Source organism: Homo sapiens, chromosome 16, assembly GCF_000001405.40.
Source record: "Homo sapiens chromosome 16, GRCh38.p14 Primary Assembly".
NCBI classification, from domain to species: domain Eukaryota; kingdom Metazoa; phylum Chordata; class Mammalia; order Primates; family Hominidae; genus Homo; species Homo sapiens.
The window spans coordinates 63,288,112-63,300,467 of NC_000016.10; the positions used below are offsets into that span (position 1 = coordinate 63,288,112).

The 12,356-nt window shown below is 38.4% G+C and overlaps 1 long non-coding RNA gene across 2 annotated transcripts in view; it reads right to left on the reverse strand.

Annotated features, from left to right (window-relative positions):
* The window catches only part of LOC105371308 (uncharacterized), a 512,336-nt gene that overhangs the window by 182,401 nt on the left and 317,579 nt on the right, over positions 1-12,356 (reverse strand). The window lies entirely within an intron of this gene.

Below are 12,356 nucleotides of genomic sequence, written 5' to 3' on the forward strand. Positions count from 1 at the left end.
ATTTGATTACTTTCTTCTTTTATTCTATTCGAAAGGCAATCAGAAAGACTGTCTAGGCCGGGCATGGTGGCTCATGCCTGTAAATCCCAGGATTTTGGGAGGCCAAGGCAGGTGATCACCTGAGGTCAGGAGTTCTAGACCAGCCTGGCCAACATGGCAAAACCCCATCTCTACTTAAAAAAATACAAAAATTACCCAGGCATGGTTGTAGACACCTGTAATACCAGCTACTCGGGAGGCTGAGGCAGGAGAATCGCTTGAACTTGGGAAGCAGAGGTTGCAGTGAGCGGAGATCGCACCACTACACTCCAGCCTGGGCGCAGAGCGAGACTCCATTTCAATAAATAAATAAATAAATAAATAAATAAAATAAGAAAGACTGTCTAATGCAGAGACTAAAGGCACGAGCTTTGAAACAACTTCTGCAGTTGGTTGCATGACTTCAAGTCAACCTCTTTACATCTCTGAGTCTCAATTACCAGATCTGTCAAATTGGAAGTGGCTGTCACATACAGGTAGGCATAGCAGCAATGGTGTGGAAATTAAATGACACTTATCACATAGGAATACCAACTTCACATGTGCTACTATCATTATTGTTTTTATATTTTTACAACCTAAACAAATGCGTTCATCTACCTCCAGTACTTCTGGTAACTTCCTGCTCATTCTTGGGGGAAAAAAAAAGAAATGATGTTGACTATGTTTTCCAGTTTCAGTAAGCTGAGCCTGAGTCATGCTTTTGTCACCCAACACAGCATTAATTATGGTCCTTGTGTATATGCTTATCACATCACATGCCCCCCCGTCCCTGCATCTGGTACACATTCCTTTTATGTCACATGTTTCACATAGCAATATGTGAGATACAGCTATTGCATATAACAATACTTTATAAGTATTCTTCTCTCCAATAATGATAGCTTCTGGGGGCAGGCAACATATCTTTTTATCACTTTAGCACAATTTATTTAGCAAAGTTTTGAGCTCATAGTAATTACTGAATAAGTTATATTGACTAATGAATGAATTGTTGTCTATTTCCTAGACTGTGTGTTAATGGTACTGGGACTCTGGCTTGGATTTTTAGAGATAAAATAGACCTAATGAGCATGGTGTATATCTTAATTGGAGTCAGTGTATCTGGGGTCTAATTTTAGTTCTGCAACTTATTTCATGGGAATAAGGGCAGGTCACCTACCTTCTTTAGGTCCCACATAACTAACATAAAACAATGGAATTATGCTAGGCCAGGGTTAATACATGGTTTAAAGTATATTCAGACACGCATCCACCTTCATTTCTGCATTGGAAATGAATTTTGATCCCAGATTTTGCTAACTGGGAGAAAGTACCATGAAAAAAATACTGGTGTCTGTCCTGAGAAGGAAAGAACAGAACAGCTATGCAGATGCCACATCTTTTTCAGTCCTGAGTGTTTCTATTTCATAATGCTATATTTCTAGCATTAAGCTGTTTCTTTTAAAGATGGCAAAAATTGGACTCCCAAAGATTAAACCTCTTGGGCAAAGTTACCTATGGAGTATCTAAGGATAGAGTTCTATATATATATATGGAATATAACATGACATTTATCCAGTTAGAAACAGTCTTTTTCCCCCAACCATGGGTCAGTTATGTCTGTCCTTCCACTGTACACATCACAAATAAAAAGAGCATAAACATAATTAGAAATGCTATTAAGACTATTTTAAAACATGTTCCTTAATTTGAAAACAAAGGTAATGAGAGGAGAGTTAGGAAGGAAAGGTGATCCGAATTGGCCAAGTGAATGCATTTTAAAATATAGCTTCCTGCAAATTGGCAAGAGTCAGAGATACAAGTGTAGAGCTGGCGCCTCAGGTTGGAGCTCTGCACTCATACTATGAGTTGAAGTGTGTGGCTGCTTAGCCATGAATCAGCAGCACCATCTAGAGGTGAACCGGAATCCTGCACACGGAAGAAACAAAAGGAAGCCCACCTGTTTAATTTGATCAACGACAAAATTATTACTTCACTTTTCAATATATAACCCCTTACAGGCTGTCTGTGAAAGAGTTGCTTTCTATTCCCATTAAGAGGCGACTGCAGAATTCGTTACTGGCAGCATTCAAGACTTCACGTCAGGCCGGGAGCGGTGACTCACGCCTGTAATCCCAGCACTTTGGGAGGAAGAGACCGGTGGATCACCTGAGGTCAGGAGTTCGAGATCAGCCTGGCCAACATGGTGAAACCCCATCTCTACTAAAAATACAAAAAAAAAAAAAAAAAAAAATTAGCCGGGCGTGGGGGCACGCACCTGTAACCCCAGCTATTCCAGAGGCTGAGGCAGGAGAATAGCTTGCACCTGGGAGGCGAAGGTTGCAGTGAGCCGAGATCGTGCCACTGCACTCCAGCCTGGGTGACAGAGGGAGACTCTGTCTCAAACAAACAAACAAACAAACAAACAGACTTCCTTTCAGAAGCCAAAGCTTACCTCCTCTACTTCCCTACTGAGAGGAAAGTCACTGATTTCCAAATCCCTTAATTTTTCCCATTCATTTTGCTGGATACCCGCCATGCCTCAGGCTTTGGGCAAAGCACTAGGGATACAGACAGGAATATACTATGGTCTGTCCCTCTACCCCTAGCCCAGCTATCCAAACCTAACCACATGTCTAAGTCTTCCTCTGTCTTATCTTTTTCAACAGTTTCTGGGTAGAGACAGATCTGTCAAGGCAGCCACTGGATTTTCAAATATTTGTTCTCAGTAAAAACATTTTCACTGAAATCATGTATTCCAATGAGTTTAAAGGGATAGAGATTCTCACGATCTTAGAGTAGTCACTATTAAACTTGGGCAACTTGGGCATACATGAAAATTATTACCTGGTGGTATGGTTAGGCTTTGCAAAATGTGAGGACATTTGGGAGGGGCCAGAAGCAGAATGATGTGGTTAGGTTTTGTGACCCCATCCAAATCTCATCTCGAATGTGTTTAGGGAGGGACCTGGTGAGAAATGATTGGATTATGGTGGCAGATCCCCCATGCCACTCTCAGGAATTTGGGAGTGAATTCTCACCAAGATTAGGTGGTTTTATAAACGGTAGTTCTTCCTGTGCTCATACATGCTGTCTCTCACCTGCTGATATGGAAGGGAAGTGCTGGGTAGAGGAGGGCATGGTCTCTGGCTATGGCTCCACCCCTGGGCCTGTGCCCACGGACCTAGGTGAAGACAGGCATTTTTGTTTTCCTGCCCAAATGTTGCATTTCCCAAGACCATACTGGCCTGCCACGCCCCCATCTTGTGCCTATAAAAACCCGAGACCCTCATCACGCCTGTAATCCCAGCACTTCGGGAGGCCGAAGCAGGAGGATCACTTGAGGTCAGGAGTTCGAGACCAGCCTGGCCAACATGGTGAAGCCCCGTCTCTACTAAAAATACAAAAATTAGCTGGGCGTGGTGGCAGGTGCCTGTAATCCCAGCTACCCCAGAGGCTGAGGCAGGAGAATTTATCGAACCCGGGAGGAGGAGGAGGTTGCAGAGAGCCGAGATCTTGCCACTGCACTCCAACCTGGCGAGAGAGGGAGACTCGTCTCAAAACAAAAACAAAAACAAAACAAAACCCGAGACCCTAGCAGGCAGACACACAGGCAGCTGCACCTCGAGAGGAACGCGTCAGCGGAGGAACACACAAGCGGCTGGAGGTGGAGAGTAATGCACCAACAGGCACTGACACTCCAGCAGGCCATAGACCGGCAGAACGATGCGGAGTTTGGCTGGGGCAGTCGGAGGAGAGCCCAGGTCACTGAGCAGCCCGACTCCAGGGGAAAACCTTCCCACTCCATCTTCTTCTGGCTTCTCCCATCTGCTGAGAGCTACCTCCACTCAATAAAACCTTGCACTCATTCTCCAAGCCCAGGTGTGATCCGATTCTTCCAGTACACCAAGGCAAGGACCCGCGATACAGAAAGCCCTCTGTCCTTGTCACAGAGTAGAGGGTCTAATTGAGCTGGTTAACACAAGCCGCCTATAGATGGCAAAACTAAAAGAGCACACGGTAGCACACACCCACTGGGGCTTCGGGAGCTGTCAACATCCAGACCTAGACACTGCTGTGGGGTCAGAGCCCCACGACCCGCCCATCTGTATGCTCCCCTAGAGGTGTGATCAGCGGGGCACTGAAGAAGCGAGCCACTCCCCCTGTCGCATGCCCTGCGAGGGGGACCAGGAAACTTTTCCCATTTCACTGCCACCATATAAGATGTGCCTGCTTCCCCTTCTGCCATGATTGTAAGTTTCCTGAGGCCTCCCCAGCCATGCAGAACTGTGAGTCAATGAAACCTCTTTTTTTATTACCCAGTCTCAGGTATGTCTTTATAGCAGTGTGAAAATGGACTAATACACCTGGTTTACTTTTTTACTGTAATACAGATTCCAAGGTTCCAAACCCCAGATTTTCCAATAATATAGACATGTAGGATTATGCATTATATTTTACTATGTTTGTTTGGGTTTCATGATTGAAGTGAACAACAATTCAGGCTTTAAGAGGGGAATGTTCTAATTTGGACTCATCAAGGGAACTAATCCCAGGATTATAAATTAGAAGTATCTGGGTTTTTTTAAATCACTTCCTCACTTAAATACCTCTGTTTAAATTTTAGACTAGGAGATATCTAAGAACTGCACCAATGCTACATCACTGTAGTGCCAAGTATTTAAAATAGCAATCCCTTAACATCACATGAAAAAAATTAGATCTGTCACAACTTGGTCAAGGGAACATGTTGAATTAGAATAGCTTTAAGAACCATTCTGTGGAAATACACACCCCTAAGTTTATTCATATCCATATTTTGATCTAAGTTTTATTAATATGAAAATACACCATGCAAGGATGTTTGTTTAGTGACCCCACTGTTAGATTTAACTGGGAATCCATTATATTAGCAAATTCACAGCTGTGAGGCTGTGTTGGTGCAAGGAAGCTGAAAATTAGAAACTTGAGTGGATTTCAATACCTAATTCCACAGCGAACGTAGGAAAATTAGAGCTGAAAAAGAAATTATTCTAAGTTGAAGGCAATTTAGCTTTCATTCTTTCTCATTTTAACAGTCCCTGTTTTAAAAGATGCCCAACTGTACATCTGTAGAACGAAAAAAAAAAAAAACTGAGTTTTTTGAAACAAACTCATGTTCTACATCCTTGACAATAAATATCTTTTATATATTTTCTAGTCTCTGTTCTTCCATTTATTATCATGGAAAAGGGCCTCTTTACATCTCAGTTGAACTATTGTACTAGTCTAATAAATTACCCTGATGACATTCTCACTTCCTAAACTCTCCAAATTTAATTTCCATCTTTCCACCAGGGAGATCTTTCTAAACTTTTCATATGACTGCTACTTGTGTAAAATCTTCCAACAATACTTAACAACAGAGTCCAAATTTATAACATTCATGTGTGATTTGGTCTCTTGCCTAGTTCATGAATTTCACCTCAAACTCAAATTTCAGATATTCTGAATTCTCTAACTCTCCAACTCTCCAACTCCTTGACACTTCCATGACTTTGCAAGTGATGGTTTATCCTGCTGGATCGTGGTTTGCCATCATTTCCTGGGTAATTCAGCTAAGTAATGACCTGCCCTCTGAAATTGATTTTTTTTTAACTCCCTAGGCTTTACTAGATGTGCCTTCTCTGGGGTTTTTGAAAACCCTATACATTCTATCATCAGAGCTTCATAGCATACAAGAAGAAAAAACAAGACAGAGGTCTTTTCCCTACTGGTCTTAAAAATCGCAGAATATGTGATTCTTACCTGTAATTATCATCAGAATGTGAGCTTCTCAAAAACAGAGAATACAATTAATTTTATATTCTCTAATTTTAATCTCGGTAATCACTTGTTAAATGTGTTCACGAATGTGTCCATTTAAATCTGTTTGCCCAACCACTAGTAATTCTTAAACAATTGTGGTGATTTTCTAAAGGGTCATACTTGTTAATCAAATAATTTTATCTGTGACTGTCATCTATAATTATTTTTGATAAATTGAGTTTCATAAATACACATTTAGGAAAAAAGTAAAAGAAAAAAACCCTCAGGGCAATATTGAAATCACAATGAAAGAAAAACACTTCAATGCCACCCGTCCCCCAAAATAAAAATGTATAATTGGCACTATGTTGTTTAATTATTTATTTTGTGTTTTTCAGTTTTGAAAATTAAAATATAATTAAAGGCCATCATTTTTATCTTTATTGGGGTGACTTGTGACAGTAAAGAAATCAGTGCCTTGATGATTGCATCAAGGTTCAATTATTCGAATGTTTGATTGCCCTGAGCTGCCAAAACCAGCCTGAACATTGGTGGAGTTATTTGTACACATCTTGTGCGAGATGAGCTAGCGTTTTGTTAGTTAATTTCAGCCCGGTTTCAAAAGCATCTCAGTAAAACATACAGGTAACCTTTGTGTTGAAGGGTTGAAGGCCAGGAAATTCCGTGAGCCTACACCTCAATGAACACAGGATGCCAAACATGGGCTGTCAGGGATCTCTTCTCTGTTGTAGTTGAACACCATGTTCACAATCCCTTCACTCAGTTTCTTTAAAAAAAAATTGTCTCAAATTTAAAAACCTTACACACTTTATGTTTTCTAGATTCTGGCTGGCTATGAATTTAAAACGAATGCTGACAGATATTTTCTAATTATTTTGCTCAGTCTTTCCATACTTTAGTTCTACATTTACTGTCAAATTTCTTAATCTATATCCTATCTTTTCCTTGCCTTTCCCATATTGCCTTTCCCTCTGAAATGCCCCTTCTCTTGAAGGCTCCCAGCTATGACTATTGCATTTACAGAAAGCAATTTAGTAATATATGTTAAGATATTAAATATGTCTATTTTCTTTTTCTAATATTCAATTATCAGGAATATATTCTATTGTAATAAAATTGATACAGAGAAGCTTTCAGTAACAAAGGTATTTTTATGACAACTTAAATTATAATACATTTTATTTATAATTTGGAAATAACAAAAGAGTAATAAGTGAATTAAATCTCTATCAATCTTCAAGATAGAAAATTACATATTTTTTGTAATCGTATCAATTTTTTTTAATAAAATTGCCGAACACTAAATTGGAGAAAAAAAAAGACCAGATGTAGGAATATCTAGATCAACAAAGAATAGAATATAGAAATATGAAAATATAAAAAAACAGAACAAATAAAAAGAGCTTATAAAATAAAGTGTTGAAAATATAACAGCGGTTATGAATTTTTTGAAAATCTGTAAGTTTGCTTTCCATCTCAAATTTTTCCAAAATTTGCCATATGGAGCATTTGTAATCTTGTAATTATTGAAAGGAAGAAAAAGAATATGTGATTATGAAACTAAGACATAGAGACATGGGACTTTACTGTAGGGTAAGAACACGCAAATTAATGCCACACTTTTTCAGGCTCTAGAACCTAGAATGATTTGAGGATTTTAACTATCTATATATCTATGTAATAGAAATACAGATCTCCAACCATCCTCTTCATATCTGTCTTTCTGTACCATTTGTCCATTAATTTAACCATCAATTATGCCATTTCTTAAAACACTCATTATTTTCTTGGGCTGGTGAATTAACTTGTTTGTTAGTTGTTTTACAGCATATTTAGGATGTGTCATATCCTAGTGGAAAGTGCCTGAACTCTGGAATCATTGAACTCTGCCATTTATTAATATGTCTATACGTAACTTGTTTCATCTCTCAGAGCTGAAAATTTGTCAACCAAAGATGAGAAGGGATAATGTATTATACTTCATAATATTATGGAGAACACAGGTTAAAAAACAAAACAAAACAACCAGTGCATGCAGGTGAAAGTTCCTGCATTAATGAATGAAAGTAGCACCCTCTTTCTCATTGAGCCCAATGTATATTTAGGGTCCAGGGTCCAGTGTATATTTGATAGGCAGGTAGAGATCAGGCAGCTTCATCATATTTCACATGCTGATCATTAGGATCATTTGACATTATTCTTGTTCCTTTATTTTTATTTTATGTTCCCTTCTTAAGGGTAACCTGATGTCATGGAGATATAAATGAGATTATTTGAAGATTTTTTCCTCCTGAGTTTAGAATGTTATTCCAGTCCTATCATATATCTTTCAGAATCATCCAAAACAAGAAATTAATAAAAGCAAAAATTGAAGGGTTGTATTTATAAGTACTTTGTCAGAGTCAGATAACTTGAAATAATGTTATACTCACTTTTTATTTTCATCCTCAAAGAAATCGTGTAGGGAGAGCAATGAAGATTTAAATGCCCATTATGAGGTGGGAAAACTGATTCTAATTGATCTATTGAGTGCTCACCAGCCAACTATGGTGGAAGTAATAGTAGCTCTATTAATAGTCGTAAGAATAATAATAGCAATGATAGTAATAGTAGTGATGGTAACTAAAATTGAGTGCTTACTATTTGCTAAGTCCTGTTGCAATAATTTATTATGTATTAACTTATTTAATCCAGGCAACTTTAAAAATTGTGTACTCTCATTATTTCCACTTTGCCAGTGACTAAAGTACAGAAAGCTTGACTGATACACTCAAGCCTGCCTAGTTCATAAGTACTGGGTCTGAGATTTAAAACCAAGCATTTTGATCCTAGATCCTCTGCTATGTTGCCTCTCTCCAGAAATGACAGGATTAGAATAAAACCTCAATCTAAAGCACAGTGGATATTAAAGTGGAATCCAATTGCAGGAAAGACAGTTTAATGGATATGAGTATGTGTTCTGGAGTCAAACTTCATAGTTTTGAAATCAAGGGATTTCAAATTTATTAAGATATAATTGACAAATAAGAATTGTATATATTTATGTTATAAAATGTGATGTTGTAACATCTGTATACATTGCAAAATGGTTAAATCAAGTTAACATCTCCATCAGCTTATATACTTATGATTTTTTGTGGTAAGAACATTTAAGATCTCCTGTCTTAGCCGTTTTCAAATATACAATAAATTATTAACTATAGTCACCATACTGTACACTAGATCTCCAGAATTTATTTATCCTGTCTAAAATTTTGTACCCTTGACTAACATTTTCCCATCCCCACCTCCACACCCCCAGAGACCCTGGAAACCTGCATTCTACTCTCTGATTCTATGAGTTCAACATTTTTATATTCTCATTACTCTGTGGCTATATACAAATGGGTCTATTTATTGGAACCTCAGTCTCTTCATCTGTAAAATGGAGATTAAAATCACAACCTACTCCATAAGAATGATGGGAGGTTTAGGTGATATAATTCACACTAAGGGCTGACATAAATTAAATAATCTATGTCTTTCAGCAGATACTATCATAATTAGTGCACATAATTAACCTGAGGCTAAGGCCAACATGGCTTTTGTATTTTTTGTTTGTTTTTGCCCATTCTTACTCAAAGCACATAGGCAATGCTAAGTACAAAATAGATGGGTGCTAAAATTTCTTCAGCTGGAGAAGAGACTACTCTAGCAATGGCTACAGAATTTATTGAGATTGTGGAGGAATGCTCAATTTAGGCTGTATGCAGAAATTGGAATTCAAGCAACCAATAGCCTCTGGAGGGCTGCAGACATGTAAGTTTTGAACTGCGCAACAGGCAGTCTATAAGATCTGGGATGCCATAGTATTGTCTTATAGTGTCCTGCGTTTCTCCTATCATTTCAATCTTTTCACTTTATTGTAATCGTTTACTCTTGATCTTCCTCACTAGACACTACATGAGGTTACTGACCAGCATTTTGCCTGAGACCAAACCTACCCTTCACAGGAATTCCAAAATAAATAATAAAAAAAAACCCCATGTAAATGGGTTAGTGCACCCTGGGATGAAAAGAATAGTTGCAACCACCAAAAGCTGGGGAAGCACAGGACAAGGCTGCCTAACATAGAACCTGGGATACTCGTCACACACTTCCCAGAGAAAGTGACTCTAGGTTGAGTTTTGAAAGAAAGATGGAAACTAGTCAGGTAAAAGGAAAGGAGAGATATTTGCATAATATTGCAGGCAAAGAAGAAACAGGTGACATCGTGGAAGGTGGAAAACCTAGAGTCTGGTGTCAATCTGCATGTCAGTGTGGCTGGAGTGTGGATTCCACAGTGGAAACACAGCAAGAGGCACATGTGCAGCCGAGGAGGAGAATAAGCAGAACTAAGCTGTGAAGACACAAATGAGATTCTGGAAAAATACCTCTCTTGATTAAAGGAAGAAGGCCTATTCCTCACCCCTGGGAACTTGCTAAAAAAGCCCCACCCCTGGCATATGTGGGTGGAACAGGCAAGAAAAATGGCCATGGGAGCTGCATTTTTGTTTTAAAAGTTTACCAAGTGATTCTGATTGAAACTGTTCAAAGATCACAGTTTGACAGGCACTGCCTCGTGAGATTTTTAAAAAGCGATTATTAACATTAACTGGTCATACTCTCTTCGGATATTTTGGAAATACACTCCCAACCCTTGCACACATTCACAATTAATCATTCGATTGACTTATATAATTTGTTGTGTTTTTAATATTCTAGGGACTATATACTAAGATTCCTTTTATAATTCTCTTTCCACTTGCCTAATTCCTTTAACATAAATGATTCTTTTTCTTACCAAGTTACCATAAGGAAGAACTTGACTCTTTTTTCAATTTCCCACTCTCACAGCCCTTTGACTTATCTAAGCTTTCATGTTTCAATTGAACTGGGCCCAAATGCTATCTCTGCACACAGCCTGACCTTGCCAATCACTCATCCTCCTTTTGGATAACATGTGACACTTTCTCACATCTCCTTACATTTTGCCTTTGACAGGCTCACCAGGGGTTTCCCTTGGACTTTGTTGCTCAACCCAGAAAGTCCCCCATCTTGCACTTCTTGCAATTCCCAAAATGAAAAGCACTCTTTGCTACCTTACTATATTAAGAATAAGATGGTCTCCACTTGAAGAGACACACTGATGGCATGACATTAAAATGAATACAGATGGTGGAGGCAAAGCTTCAAAGATACAGTCCAATTGGCATATCTCCTTGACAATGTAGGTTACTGAATCAAAACAAGGTTAGAAACCCATTTCTGTTCTGGCAGCTGTAACATTCCTTAATAGACATATTAAGATGTGTTGCTTATTTAAGCACTGAATTTTCATTTTGGGGCACATATGGAGAAAACGTGTTTATTTATACTTTATTTTTCCTAAGGCAAATTATATTTATGTAGGACTTAGAATAAGAAGAAAAGTAGAAGAGAGACAGAATTAATATTGAATAATACTTATCTCTGTACAATTTAATATTATGACTAGCTGGAATATAAGCTCCTTGAAACAAGGACATTATCTGTTCTGTTCATTGCACTATTCCAAATTCCTGGATTAATGCCCAAGAGTGTCCTGTAACAAATATATGTTGAATAAATAAATGAATTAAAAAAAACAATTGCAAGCCACATATGTAGATTACCTATTAGAGTGCTTGCTTTATATCAAGATCCTCAAATGGCAGCCATTGTTTTTACCATAACTGAGACTAATAATAATATATAAACATCTGTCTTTATGATGAATACAATATATCTATATATAGATATATTATTAATAATAATATAGATATTTATACAGGCATATTATATTATATGTATAATCTACATGCTTGATATATAATAACCACTGCTTCTACATCTTTGCTTGAAAAGTAAATAAAAAGCAGTTCACAGTAACTTGAATACATTATAATAAGTGAAAAAAAGGATGTGGCCGGGAGCAGTGGCTCATGCCTGTAATCCCAGCACTTTGGGAGGCGGAGGCGGGCGGATCACGAGGTCAGGAGATCGAGACCATCCTGGCTAACACGGTAAAACCCCATTTCTACTAAAAATGCAAAAAAGTAGCCAGGCGTGGTGGCGGGTGCCTGTGGTCCCAGCTACTCGGGAGGCTGAGGCAGGAGAATGGTGTGAACCCAGGAGGCGGAGCTTGCAGTGCTCCAAGATCACGTCACTGCACTCCAGCCTGGGCAACAGAGCGAGACTCCATCTCAAAAAAAAAAAAAAAAAAAAAAAAAAAAAAAAAAAAAAAAAGGCTGTATGGGAGAATGATCCAGTACATGAGATTAAAATAATAAAAAAATTATATCAAAGTAAAACTATATAAGCTTTACATTGCAGCACTGAAAAGAAGTTTACTGTGTATGCATATCTTAAACATGGGGAAGGCACAGGAGATGTGCGTGTAAGAAAGATCACACTAGCAGCTATAAGGAGGAAGGAGGAGCAGGGCATAGCATACAAAACGGGACATAGAAGGAAGGGAGCACTGAAGT